At 40.3% G+C, this 14,769-nt stretch overlaps 1 protein-coding gene across 12 annotated transcripts in view, besides 2 other annotated features; it reads left to right on the forward strand.

Moving 5' to 3' along the window:
- Positions 1,355-1,514: an enhancer, noted in NCBI's record as "active region_24130". NCBI's record gives its function as "activates an Ori minimal core promoter by ATAC-STARR-seq in GM12878 lymphoblastoid cells {active_cell/tissue: GM12878}" and the evidence as "EXISTENCE:reporter gene assay evidence [ECO:0000049][PMID:35858748]".
- Positions 1,426-14,769, forward strand: part of CDKAL1 (CDKAL1 threonylcarbamoyladenosine tRNA methylthiotransferase) — a 697,948-nt gene continuing 684,604 nt past the window's right edge. For 7 of the 12 annotated variants that reach the window (NM_017774.3, XM_011514718.1, XM_024446481.2 and 4 more), the window contains exons 1-3: positions 1,426-1,543; positions 2,320-2,363; positions 13,315-13,492. In NM_017774.3, coding sequence (NP_060244.2) covers positions 13,320-13,492 — 173 coding nt within the window. In that variant the 5' untranslated portion in view covers positions 1,426-1,543; positions 2,320-2,363; positions 13,315-13,319. The other 5 variants (XM_047418949.1, XM_047418952.1, XM_047418947.1 and 2 more) reach the window with 3 other exon arrangements.
- Positions 1,545-1,624: an enhancer, noted in NCBI's record as "active region_24131". NCBI's record gives its function as "activates an Ori minimal core promoter by ATAC-STARR-seq in GM12878 lymphoblastoid cells {active_cell/tissue: GM12878}" and the evidence as "EXISTENCE:reporter gene assay evidence [ECO:0000049][PMID:35858748]".

Consider the following 14,769-nt stretch of genomic DNA (forward strand, 5'->3'; position numbering starts at 1 on the left):
AATATCTTTTACTGAACTCAACTAGATCTTGGGGGAAAAGGGGTGGAGTCATTCATTCATTCATTCATTCATTCAACATATGTTTATTGAGAAGCTATAAACATAGGCACAAGGTTATGTGCTAGGTAGTGCGATTACAACCAAGAAGATAACCCAGGGCCTACTTTTGGTCTAGTGAAAGAGATGGAATTAGATGGGTATGGTGGTGTGCACCTGTAGTCCCAGCTACTTGGGAGGCTAAGGCATGAGAATCTCTTGAGGCTAGGAGGGAGAGGTTGCAGTGAGCTGTGATGGTAACACTGTACTCCAGCCTGGGTGACAGAAGAAGACCCTATCTAAAAAAAAAAAAAAAAAAAAAAAAAAAGTAGGGCAACATAAATACACAATTTTAATTTAGGTGGGTAAAGACAACAGTGGACCCCAGGGCACAGTTTAGATTATTTTATGGATATGGATAAACAGAGAAAAGGGTGGTTTTTTTTTTTTTTTTTAAATCTATTTTAGAGACTGGGTCTCACTGTGTTGCCCAGGCTGTTTTCAAACTTCTGAGCTCAAGTGATCCTCCCACATCAGCCTCTTGAGTAGATGGATGGCATTTTAATTAGATGAAATTGTACTAGGAAAGGCATTTGCAAAACAAAGTAATTGCCCCAAATCACTATGAAACCCTAAGTCAGGCATAAAACTCACGATTTCTGACCCTTCTTCATGGCCTATTGCCTCCTATTACCTTTACTTTTTCAAGTAAAGATATTCTTCTGGTAAACACATGGTCAAATACAGTGTCTTGGGTAACGAATAGTAAAGTGAGATAACATATGTAGAGAAAGCGGGTGAGAATCCGTACTCCATAAAAGTATTTTCTTTCCATAGGTGTCTGCTAAACTGCCATCTAAGTTTTCCAAAACAAAAAACAAAAACACTTGTGTGGTGCTCAATGATGTATATTAAGTGAAACCTACCAACTGACCTTTATCCTTTCCTTCCTGTTTTTTTAATATTAAAGAAGAGACCTCTTTTCACAAATGATTGAGGAGGCTAGTAAAATGCAGTGAAAAGAGCAAGTTCTTTGGGAGTCAGACAGCATCGGATCCAGCCCAGAGCGCAGCACGACTAGTAGAGTAACTTAGATTAAGTCCTTAAACTTCCAGTGTCCTCTTTTGTAAACTGGGAATAATAATAATAATAAATAAATAGTGAATAATATTTATGCAAAGTACTTAGCACAGTGTCTAACACATAAAAGCTTAGGAGAAGTTGGCTATTAAGCATTTCTAGGAACCCGAGGACTCAGGGTTGTTATTTTAGTTCTTGGAATCAAAGGAACTTGAAGCGTAGTCATTCCTAAACTAAGTTAAACCAGAACTAGCGCTTTCAGCAATGATGTAATTTGATCTCTTCGGGCCACCGTCGCTGAGCATGCGCAAATAAACGTGGCGGGACGTATGTGTCATGGCGCTCTCCATCTAAAGTCTGTGCAGCTTCCGGAGAGTGGCGGGTTGATTTTCTCACTTTGGACTGGTTTTTACTTCCCGACTTCTGGGTAAGGGTGGCCGATGGGTCCATGTGGGGCAGAGTGTGGCCACAGCTCCTTTTATGGCCAAGCCTTGTTTCTCCAGTTTCAGTTTTTCTTGGGCTGTTTGCAAATTTGTTTCGCAGTTAAAAGGGGATTTGCCAGCTGGGATGGGGGAATTGGGAGGCAGATGGGGCTTCCAGGAGCGAGGATAGGGTCGTTGGCCTCAGGTGCCGCTCTCCAGTTAGGAGTATTTTAGGCACCTCGTTCCTTATTGTCAGGTTTAACTTCATTTGTTCTCCCACTTTATACCTTAGTGAATTTGTAGATGTGACAAGGCTTTCGCAGTTATATAGCTTTCCCAGATCAGTATGTTAAGAATTTAAGCAGAAGTTATTGAGAAAAGCAGGTGTCTTGCTTTTTCACTTTTCGTTCTTCTTTGCTCATAAAACCTTTTTCTGAATCTCGGGACGACAGTTATCTTTCGGATGGAACGTGATCTGGATGTCTATCTACCTTATTGACTTAATCCTGTTTTGTAGTGGTTGGTTACTCGCACTATGCAGACGTGTTGCGGTGCTGAATACAACATTTATTACTAAAGCCAGACACTGGATCACCGTCACGGCAGATGTCAGCACACCTGTTGTAATCAGTAAGAAGTTACAAGTAGTATGGAGCATCATTAATCCTGCTGTATAAAGCAGTCTTTTATGGAGTCTGATTCCTTTTAAGTAAAGAATCCTTACAGTGGTTTTGTGAACTTTTTGGGTGCTTACTTTTCCTAATCAATTTTTATTTTCCAGACTCATCTTTCAAGAGGACTTTAGACTAATTGCAGATAATTAAGGTACTGATTTATTTTAAACCTTTTATGTTTGAGTGCTGTGCGTATTTCTGCATGTTAGAAAATGCAGAGAGGTAGCCTAATGTTTTAGCTATTTGCCACTATCATGTTATGGAAACATTGTGCTTTACATAGCATTAAATCGAAGAGATATTTTCATTTATTTTACTTAACCTTTCATTTTCATTCACCAGCATTGACCATGTCCACTTTTTTGAGATGCCCTTTTCATTTGCCTTCCATGGCCCATGGATTTTTTTCCTTGTCTGGTGGCTGCTTCTTGGAATCCATTATAAGCTGATTTTCCTTTATCTGGCAGTTAAATTTGGAGTCTCTCAAGTCGTGGTCTTGTACCTTCTCCTACCTCTGTTCTCTTTTTCTTCCCCTCTGGGTGATGTAATCCACATGCCTGTCAACAGTTATTTGTCTTTTTGATTCTACCCATCCTAATGGGTATGAAGTGGTGTATTATTGTGGTTTGGATTTCCATTTCCCTGATGGCTCATGATGTTGACATCTTTTCATGTGCTTATCAGCCATTTGTATGTGTGTGTTTTTGAGACACGGCTTCCCTATGCCACCCAGGCCAGAGTGCAGTGGCTCGATTACGGCTCACTGCAGCCTTGACCACCTGGTCTCAAGTGATCCCACTTCAGCCTCCCAAGTAGCTGGGACTACAGGTGCATGCCACCATGCCCGGCTAAATTTTACTTTTTTTTTTTTTTTTGTAGCGATAGGGTCCGTGTTGCCTAGGCTCTGGCCTTGTACTCCTGGCCTGAAGTGATCCTGCCACCTTGGCTTCCCAGTGTTGGGATTATAGGCATGAGCCTCTGCACCTGGCCCATTTCTGTATCTTCTTCATCTAATCTGTTTTTCCTTTTGTTGCTTGTGCTTTTCATTTCTTAGCTAAGAAAGAAGGGCCTACTCTAACATCATAAAGATTTGTGCTTATGTTTTTTTCTAAGAGTTTCATAATGTTAGCTCCTAAATTTAGGTCTATGATCCATTTTCGGTTAATTTTTGTATATGATGTGAAATGTGAAATAGGGCTCCAACTTTATTTTTTACATGTTGCTATCCAGTTATCCCAGTGTCATTTGTTGAAAAAAAAACTACGCTTTCCCCCTTGAATTGTCTAGGTTATGTATATTTGACATACATTCTAGGTGGTTTTTATGAAAGAATAATTCTGGGACAGTGATTATCAAACTTTAATTCAGATCAAAATCACCTAGAGGGCCTGTTAAATATTGCTAGGTTTTACTCAAAATATCTGATTTAGTATGTCTGGAGTGGAGTTCAAGAATTTTCATTTCTGGCTGGGCATGGTGGCTCATGCCTGTAATCCCATACTTTAGGGGCCAAGATGGGAGGAGTTTGAGACCAGCCTGGACAACAAAGCGAGACCTTGTTTTTACAAAAAAACTGAAAAAGAAAAAATGTTCATTTCTAACAAGTTCCCCATGATGCTACTCCAGCTGATGTGGAAACTACACTTTGAAAACCACTGGACATTGCTTTGCAACTGTGGCTGTACACACATGAGAATGACTGGAAAGTTTTTAAAAGATATTGATGCCCAGGCTCCATTCTCAGAGATTCATTCAGCTATCTTGGGGCTTAGTTGGGAATTTTCTTTTTTTTCTTTTGTTTTTGTTTTTGTTTTGAGACAGAGTCTCGCTCTGTCGCCCAGGCTGGAGTGCAGTGGCGTGATCTCGGCTCACTGCAAGCTTAGTTGGGAATTTTCAAAAGCTCTTCAGGTGAATAGAATGAGTGTTGAAGATTGAGAACCATTACTGTGGAATCGTGGTTCTTAATTAGGGATCTATAGTGGAATTACCTGGACAGTTTCTATGTTCACATACTTCAGTTCTACTCTTGGAGATTCTAATTCAGAATGGAACCTGGAGATTTGATATGATGAAAAGCTTCCCGCTGGGTGCAGTGGCTCACGCCTGTAATCCCAGCACTTTGGGAGGCCAAGGCAGGTGGATCACCTGAGGTTGGGAGTTCAAGACCAGCCTGACCAACATGGTGAAACCCCGTCTCTACTAAAAATACAAAATTAGCTGGGCGTGGTGGCAGGTGCCTGTAATCCCAGCTACTCGGGAGGCTGAGGCAGGAGAATTGCTTGAACCCAGGAGGCACAGGTTGCAGTGAGCCGAGATCGTGCCATTGCACTCCAGCCTGGGCAGCAAGAGTGAAACTCTGTCTCATAATTACAAAAAAAAAAAAAAAAAGCCTCCCTAATAACTCACCTATGTAAGTAACCACTGCTCTAGGATATTGCATCCTCCTTCTTCCTATCATTTTGAGTATTTTCCTTTTCACTGACTCTATTTTTATTCCCTTTATCAAATTTGATTTCCTCTACCTTTGAGAAAAATTTTTAATGATCCTTTTGCTCCATTTAGCTATTACGCTGCTTTCCTTTTATTCTCAAACTTTCATTTCCATATGATTTAATTAAAAATTTCTGAAGGCTAAACAATTCCCTCTATCAGTCTATCAGTTTGTTCAAAGTAAAACCTTTAGCTTATTAATAGTGATGAGTGAGATTATTTAGGTACTTATGATATACAGCCAGGTTTATGCTACATAATGCTGATATGCAGCGTTATATTTATCTTTTTTGAGTGAATATCTCCAAATGAAATTGCTGGCTCGAAGGATATACATATGTTTGGTATAATTGTCAGGTTGCCCTCCAGAAGGGGTGTACCAGTTTTTCTGTGCTTTCAGCTAACAGAGTTTTTGTCAGCTTTGTATCAGTGAGGCAGCTGAAAAATAACTTATTGTTTCAATACTTGTTGTTAGTGTGGTTGAGCATTCTTTCCTCTTTTTTTTTTTTTCTTTTCTGGGTATTTGTATTTCTTAAGTGAACTGCCTGTTTTTCCTTTACGCATTGTTTTCTGGAATGTGGTTACTTATTAGTGTCACATTAGATTCTTGCATTGTTTGTACTTTGCCAGTGAGGCAAAGCCATAGTGGGAAGAGCATGGTATTGAGAGGATGCCAAGGTTCTGATTTCTAGCTCTATCAATGTACAAATCCTTTTGCTTCAGTGGACTCCAGCTCTGTAAGATAAGAAGCTTAGCAACTTCTGCTTCTCTAACTCTAATGATATGGGATGTCTATTGCAGTGGATTCCTTTCATTCCTCTTTTTCCTTTCTATTTCTCTTCAGTGGATCCATACACACTTGTATATGGGATGGCAAAATTGTGTAATTAAAAAATATGGCTTTTAATTAATGTTATTTAATTATTCATGATCTGTCAGTAGTTCTTCCGCATTCCAAAGGCACTACCTGGTCCTAGCCTCTCTCATTTAATTATTTCATAGAAGAGTGGTGATAGAAGAAATCCTAGGGGTTGGGCATTTACTTCAGCTTCCCACCCAGTGTAGAATTTCCTGCTGTGTCATAGAAAGACTAGCTAAATTCAACTTAAGCATTGTGTTCATTCATTTAGTCAGTAACTATTGTGTGCCTGCTATGTGTCAGGCATTGTTAGAGGTGTTGTAGAGACAGTACTGAAAAAGAGATGATGCCTTTGTGCTTAACAAGCTTACATTGTAATGAGGAAGATACAATTATATATGTGGTGTCAGGTAGGTAAGCACAATGAAGAAACATGAAACAAAAGCAGGGTTAGAAGCAGTGAAAGTGTGGGCATGCTTGGGCAGCGTGGTTATTTTAGATAAGGTAGTAGGAAAGGCCTCTCCGAGGAGATGTTGTTTGAGTGAAGAAGTGGGTGGGAAGACATACTTATCTGGGGGCTGATATTCTGGCAGAGGAATAGCAATTATGAAGGCTCCCGAGTCAGAAACTAATTTGGCATACTCAGAATATCTATATCCATATATTGCCCGACTGTGTAGTCTGCAGTAAAAGTATTTATTGAGAACCTGCAATGTGCTAGACATAGTTCTAGGCACCTGGGATAAAACAGTGAACACCTCACACGAAAACCTTTACCCTCACGAAGTATGTATTCTAGTAAGATAAACAGTTAAAAAATTATTAAAACATTTTAAGCAGATGATTAAATGCTACAGTTTAAAAAAAGGCAGGAAAGGGGCATAGGAAGAGGGTGTGTGGTGAGGTGGGGGTGTTGGTTGGAAAGTCCTCTCTTGTTACACTTGAGCAAAGTCCTTAAGGGCTTGAGTGAGTGAGCCATTCAGGTGTCTTAAGTAAGAGCATTCCAGGCAAGAATAAGACTGTGAAATGAATGCATATCTAGTGGGTACGAAATAACAAAGCCTGCATGACTGAGGGGAGCGTGGTAGGAAGTGGGGCCAGAGATGCAGCAGGAGGCTGATTATATATGTCATTGCAGATCTTTGTAGTGATTTTGGCTTTTTACTCTGATATGGAATACCACTGGAAGGGTTTGATTGAGAAGCTTGAGATGAACTTAGGTTTTAAAGGGATCCCTGACTTCTGTGCTGAAAATGTTCTTGTAGAGTTTAAGGATAGAAGCAAGGATATTAGGGATTGCAATAATCCAGACAAGAGGTGATGTTGGTTTGGACCAAGAGTGTAACAGTGGGTATGGTCACAAATAGATTCTGAATATATTTTGAAGGTACAGCCAACAGGATGTTGTTGATTGATTGGATTTAGGGTGACAGAAAGAGGGGAGTGCAGGATTTTTGGCCTGAGCAGTAGAAGATTGGGATTGTCTTTTTTTTTTTTTTGAGACAGAGTCTCACTCTGTTGGCCGGGCTGGAGTGCAGTGGTGAGATCTTGGCTCACTGCAACCTCTGCCTCCTGGGCTCAGGCAATTCTCCTGCCTCAGCCTCCCAAGTAGCTGGGGTTACAGGCGCTCGCCACTATGCCTGGCTAATTTTTTGTATTTTTAGTAGAGATGGGGTTTCACCATGTTGGACAGGCTGGTCTTGAACTCCTGACCTTGTGATTCACCCACCTCGGCCTCCCAAAGTGCTGGGATTACAAACATGAGCCACTGCGCCCAGCCAGGATTGCCATTAAATGAAATGGGAGAAGTTGTAAGAGGATCTGGTAAGGTAGGGAGAAGATCAGGAATTCTGTTTCGACTTTGACTTTTTTTTTTTTTGGGATGGTGCTTCGCCCTTTGTCGCCCAGGCTGGAGTGCAGTGGTGCAATCTCAGCTCACTGCAACCTCTGCCTCCTGGGTTCAAGCGGTTCTTCTGTTTCAGTCTCCCGAGTAGGTGGGATTGCAGGTGCCCACCACCATGCCTGGCTAATTTTTGTATTTTTAGTAGAGACGAGGTGTCACCATGTTGGCCAGGCTGACCTCCAACTCCTGACCTCAGGTGATCCATCCGCCTCAGCCTCCCAAAGTGTTGGGATTACAGGCGTGAGCCACCATGCCCAGCCCTGTTTTAACTTTTTAAGTTTGAAGGAATTATTAGACATTCAAGCAGTGGTGTGGAATAGGCAGTTGAACGTCTGAGTCTGAAGCTCGGGGGAAGAATGGGGCTGGTTATGTAAGCATAGACGTAGTTCATATTTCAAGGCCATGGGACTGGATGAGGTCACCTAGGGAGTGCCTGAAACTAGAGAAGAGTTCCTGTAACAGAGCCATGGGGGCATTCTAATGGTGAGAAGTTGGAGAGATGAGCAGAGGAGACTGGAGCTAGGAGAGTGTGGCATCCTGGAAACTAGTGCAATTTCTTACTGCAGTTCTTCAGTCTTTAATAATGCACACTGTGAATGGGTAAGGACGCAGAATTTTCTAAATTTATTTGACCACAGAACCATTTTTTTTTCCAGATAGGTAGTAAATAATTAGAAGCAATTTGGGAAAGACTAACCTGGTTCATTTCACCCTACCTGGATGGCTGAGTTGGCCAGGGCTCTTTTTTGCAAGAACAGAATACCCACCTCAAACTGATTTAAGCCACAGGCTCGCATGACTGGGCAGAGCAGGGCTGCATTTGGCTTCAGGCATTTGTTGGATTCAGATGCTCAAATAATGTCAGTATGGTTCTTTATCTTTCTAGATCTTATTAGGCTTCATTCCTTAAGTAGGCTTCCTCCCTGTAGCAGACAAGAGGGCTCTGGTATCCCCAAGTTGACATCCTCCCAACTTAGCCACTTCAGTGACAAGAGAAGCTATCTTCTGTTAACACTAGCGTAGAATCCTCACAGTGATTCTTATTGGCTAGGCTTCTCATGACTGACCTTGAACTGGTCATTGTGGCCAGGAGGATGAGTTACCCTGGCAAGCTTGGGTCATGTTCCCCATTCCAGTGTCTAGGGAAAGGGAAGTCTGTGATTGACAGTCTTTTTTTTTTTTGAGACAGAGTTTCGCTCTTGTTGCCCAGGCTGGAGTGCAATGGCGCGATCTCGGCTAACCAAAACCTCTGCCTCCCGGGTTCAAGCAATTCTCCTGTCTCAGCCTCCTGAGTAGCTGGGATTACAGGCATGTGCCACCACGCCCGGCTAATTTTGTATTTTTAGTAGAGACAGGGTTTCTCTATGTTGGTCAGGCTGGTCATGAACTCCCAACCTCAGGTGATCTGTCCGCCTTGGCCTCCCAAAGTGTTGGGATTACTGGCGTGAGCCACCGTTTCCGGCAATTGACAGTCTTACCATGACCACGTGGTACGTATGTTAACTATAATCCAGCCAATCCTTGATGGATTGATGTTTGGTTTATTTCTAATCTTTGGTTCTTACTGACAATATAAAGCTAGCTGAGATTTGAACACAGATTTTTCGGATACCCAGTGCATAATTTGTCATAGCTGTAATGAATACATTACAGAGGAAAGGAGCCTGGCTGGCTGCCACTCTGTTAATTGAATGATGTGAATGGAAGGATGGGAATCCAGCAAATGAGAAGGAAAATTCATCAGAAAGCTTTGAGGACAACTGAAAGAATGTAAGATCCTTAACACTGCAACTCAGATGAGGAACAGTGGTCATTCAATATACACATACTAAGTAGGTAGTAGAGTACCACACAGTGCGTGGGCTTGGACTCATCTGTCATGGTATCCTTGTTTAGCTTCTTTGGGCAAGTTAATTTATCTGTGTTTCAGTTTGTTCATCTTTAAAGCGAGGATAGTAATACTATCTACCTAGTAAGAGTTGTTGTGAATGGTTGATGAGATGACCCTATAAAGGACTTGCCTTGTGTCTGGATATAGTATTAGTGGTAGTACTATCAGTAAGTATATACGAGTGTATTCCCCCCCCATTTTTTTCTTAACTATTTTATTCTAACATAATTACCGCTTTACCTGCAGTTGTAAAACTTATGCAGAGATCCTTGTACACTTTACCCAGGTCTCCCGTTGGTAACATCTTGCAAAACTACAATACAATACAGTATCACAACCAGGATATTGACATTGATACAGTCAGGATGCAAAACATTTCCATCATCACAAGGATTCCTCATGTTGCTCTTTTATAGTCATACCCATTCTCCTCTCACCCTGTTCTTTCTTTAATCCCTGGCAACTACTATTCTGTTCTCCATTTCCATAATTTTCTCATTTCAAGCATGTTATATAAAAGTGATCATACAGAATGTAACCTTTTGGGATTGAATTTCTTCATTCAGCATAATTCTCAGGAGAGTCATCCAGGTTGATGCATATGTCATTAGTACATTTCTTTTTATTGCTCAATAGTGTTCCATGGTATGGATGTACCACACTTTGTTTAACCATTCACCTTTTGAATGGCATCCAGGTGGTTTCCAGATTTGGGCTATTACAAAGAAAGCTGCTGTGAACATTCATGTACAGGTCTTTGTCTGAATACAAGTCTTTATTTCTCTTGGATAATTGCCCAGGAGTACAATTGCTGGGTTGCATCACAGTCATATGATTTGTTTAAGAAAACACCAAACTGTTTACTGGAGTGGCTATACCATTTTTCATTCCCTCCAGGACTGTATGAATGATGCAGTTTCTTTGCATCCTTGCCGGTGTTTGGTGGTTTCACTGTTGTCTGTTTTATCCATTCTGAAAGGTGTATACTGATACCTCATTGTGGTTTTAGTTTCCATTTCTGTGCTTATTTGCCCTCTGTATATTCTCTTGAAATGTCTTTTGTCATTTTCTTTTTACGGTTGTGTTTTGACACTAGTTCTTTGTCAGATATGTGGTTTGCAAATATTTTCTTCCACTCTGTAGTTTGACTGTTTGACTTTTCAGCCTCTTAATAGGGTCTTTCTTAAAGCAAAAGTTTTAAATTTTAATGACATTCAATTTATTACTTTTTCTTTTTATGGATTGTGCTTTTGGTGTCACATCTGGTAACTTTTTACCTATCCCTAAGTCCAGAAGATTTTCTCCTGTGATTTTTTTCTAAAAGTTTTATAATATTATGTTTTACATTTTTTTTTTTTTTTTTTTTTTGAGACAGAGTCTCACTGTGTCACCCAGGCTGGAGTGCAGTGGTACAATCTTGGCTTACTGCAACCTCTGCCTTGTGGGTTCAAGCAATTCTCCTGCCTCAGCCTCCCAAGTAGCTGGGATTACAGGCGTGCACCAACACACTCAGCTAATTTTTTGTATTTTTAGTAGAGACGCGGTGTCACCATGTTGGCCAGGCTGTTCTTGAACTCCTGACCTCAAGTGATCCACACGCCTCGGCCTGCCAGAGTGCTGGGATTATAGGTGTGAGCCACTGCGCCCAGCCTATGTTTTACATTTAAGTCTATGATCCATTTTGAATTAATTTTTGTATAAGGTGCAAGACTTAGGTCAAGGTTCATTTTTTGCCTATAAATGTCTGCTTGCTCCAGCACGAATTGTTTAAAAAGCAATCTTTCCTCCATTTAATTGCTTTTGTGGAATATTTGTGTAGGTCTGTTTCTGGGTTTTCTGTTATGTTCCATTGATCTATATTTCTATCCCTCTACCAATACCACGGTCTCAATTATAGCTATCTAATAAGTCTTAAAATTGGGTAGACCAGGCCGGGCGCAGTGGCTCACGCCTGTAATCCCAGCACTTTGGGAGGCCGAGACGGGCGGATCGCGAGGTCAGGAGATCGAGACCATCCTGGCTAACACGGTGAAACCCCGTCTCTACTAAAAATACAAAAATTAGCCGGGCATGGTGGCGCGCGCCTGTAGTCCCAGCTACACGGGAGGCTGAGGCAGGAGAATGGCGTGAACCCAGGAGGCGGAGCTTGCAGTGAGTCGAGATCGCGCCACTGCACTCCAGCCTGGGCCACAGAGCGAAACTCCGTCTCAAAAAAAAAAAAAAAAAAAAAAAAAATTGGGTAGACCAGTTCTTCTTACTTTACTCTTCTCAAAATTGTTTTAAATATATTAGTTTCTGTACATTTCCATATAAAATTTAGGATAGTCTTATCTATACCTACAAAAAAATCTTCCTGGGATTTTGATAGGGATTATTTTAAACTTGTGTATCAGTTTGGTCTCCACTGACACTGCAAAACTTCATTACTGGTCGGTTGGTTGGTTTGAATGTCCAGGATCCCTCCAGGTCCTTCTCTGATTCTACACTAGTGGAGTGTGTTGGGGTGCTTGATTGTAGGTAGAAGTCCAAGCTCTCCCCACTTGGCCTTTGTAGCGTGCCTGGGGGTGGGATTACAGTTTTGTGTGTGTGTGTGTGTGTGTGTGTGTGTTTGTGTTTGGCTGGAGTAGAATGATTATTATCTAAAACTTTTCTGTCTTCCTAGGCTGCCCTTTGTATAGTTCTTTAACGAGAAAGCAGGCTTTTATTGGGGGGTTTTATTGTTGGCATCTCTTGCCATTTCTGATTGCTGGGATCTTTAGTGAGCTGTAGGAGGCAGAAGAAAACCCAAGGAACTCATCATATTCCTTGGGTCCTGAGGTTCATAGCCAGTCTGCCTTATGCTTGTTTTATATATAATGTCCAGAGTTTTATTTGTATTTTGCTGGCGGGGCAGGGAAAAATGTGCTTATCTTCTTGCAAGCTGTGTCCACATTTTCTTCTTTTAATTATAAAAATTTTGAATATTTAGAAAAGTCGTATAGGATAATGAACATGAACCTATCTAGTTTCTAGTTTTAAGAGTTGTAAATGCTTTTCAGTATGTCTTAATCTATTTTTTCTTCTTTTTTGAGATGGAGTTTTGCTCTGTTGCCCAGGCTGGAGTGCAGTGGTGCACTCTCGACTCACTGCAACCTCTGCCTCCTGGGTTCCAGCGATTCTCCTTCCTCAGCCTCCCAAGTAGCTAAAACTGCAGGTGTACACCACCATGCCTGGCTAATTTTGTACTTTTAAAAGAGATGGGGTTTCACCATGTTGGCCAGGCTGGTCTCAAACGCCTGACCTCAAGTTATGCGCCCACCTCCCCAAAGTGCTGGGATTACAGGCATAAGCCACCCAAAGTGCTGGGATTACAGGCATAAGCCACTGTGGCTAGCCAGTCTATTTTTTCTGAGGTCCTTTTAAAGTAAATTATAGACATAATGACATTTCACTTCTAAATATTCAATATGCATCTCTAAAAAATAAAATTTTTGAATATAAGGACAATACTTTATATCGAATGATTTATAATAACTTCTTCATATTATCTAATATCCAGCTTATATTCTGATTTCCCTAGTTATACCCAAAATTTCTTATAGCTTGACAGACAAAGAAGAAACAATCAAGAACATGAACTGCATTTTGTTGTTAGGCTTTTACGCTTCCTGTTATCTGAAACAGTTCCTCTCCTACTTTTTCCTACTTGACATTGATTTGTTGAAGAAATAGTTCCTGTTGAACCTTGGAATGTCCCATTGTCATTAGGGTTTTGTCTGATTGTTTCATTGTGTTTCTTTTTTCAATATACCCAAGATAGTACTTCATCCTTGTGTTTCTTTATCTCTTGTATTTTCTATAAATTTGAAGTTAGATCCAAAGGCTTGATTAGATTCAAATTTGGTGAGAATATTTCATAAATGATGCTACGCTAAGCAGATTTTCATAAGTTGATTTTATTTATAACTTTTATGTGGTAGAGAATATGCCTTCTGCATCCTGTGATACACTACTGGATGACATCGAAGATATCGTGTCTCAGGAAGATTCAAAACCACAAGATAGGCATTTTGTAAGAAAGGATGTTGTCCCGAAGGTACGAAGGCGAAATACCCAAAAATATTTGCAAGAGGAAGAAAACAGTCCACCAAGTGACAGGTAAGCTTTTTTCCTTGAAATTATATTCATTTTCTTTTTTTTTCTTTTGAGACAGAGTCTTGCTCTGTCGCCCAGGCTGGAGTGCAGTGGTGTGATCTCGGTTCACTGCAACCTCCTCCTCCTGGATTCAAGCTATTCTCCTGCCTCTGCCTCCCTAGTAGCTGTGATTACAGGCACACACCACCATACCTGGCTATTTTTTGTATTTTTAGTAGAGATGGGGTTTCACCATGTTGGCCAGGCTGGTCTTGAACTCCTAACCTCAGGTGATCTGCCCACCTTGGCCTCCCAAAGTACTGGGATTACTGGCCTGAGCCACTGAGCACGGCCGAAATTATATTCATTTTCATTCCAGGGAGAAGCTGACGCTACTGGTCTGTGTGATATATATAATGTCTCTTCATTAGAATCTTTGAACTTTTGATAGGAAATACAAGTTGAGTATCACTTATCTGAAATGCTTGAGACCAGAAGTGTTTCAGATATCACATTTTTTTTTTTGGATTTCGGAATATTTGCATTACATACTTTCCAGTTGAGTATTCCTAATCCAAACATCTGAAATGCTCCAGTGAGCATCCTTTGAGTATCATTTTGGCACTCAAAAAGTTTCAGATTTTAGAGCATTGTGGATTTTGAATTTTTGAATTAAAGAAACTCAACCTGTATGTAGATTTTTTTTTTATTTGAATGATTTTAAATTTGGCAAGGTAATTGGTTAAAAAGAAATGAGATGTCAAATTGGATGTTCCTAGAAGATAGCCTCGGGCAATAGGGATCTCTTGGGTATTACTGTAGTTGATATGTAAGTCTGTGTTATTTCCAAATAAAATTTTTACCAGAGTTTGTGATTCTTATGAGACAGTAGTATTTTGGACATTTGAATTTTCTTAGCTGATTTTCAAATACCTGTGGATCAGGTAAAGGCAGTGGGCACAAATAAATTATTGCCCTATTTACGCTATTATAGTAGATCTCTAGTCCGTGAAATTTTGATACAACCTAACCAGAAAGGATAATGTAATTATATGGTTTTAATAAGCCTATATTTGTTTATCTAGTCAACTGCTGAACTTTATAATCTGCTTATTTTGTTGGGAAACTAAGCTTTTAAATTCTTGGAATTTAAAATTTGCTTATATTTTAATGACTGAAGTTTATAAAATTTGTCCTAAATGTGTCCTTAAGGTAATTTTTATTTACTTATAAATTATTAGAGCAATCCAAGTTGAAAGTCCTTTTTTCCCCTAAAAGTTATTTTTAGAACTCTGATTTTA

This window comes from Homo sapiens, chromosome 6, assembly GCF_000001405.40.
Source record: "Homo sapiens chromosome 6, GRCh38.p14 Primary Assembly".
Taxonomy (NCBI): Eukaryota; Metazoa; Chordata; class Mammalia; order Primates; family Hominidae; genus Homo; species Homo sapiens.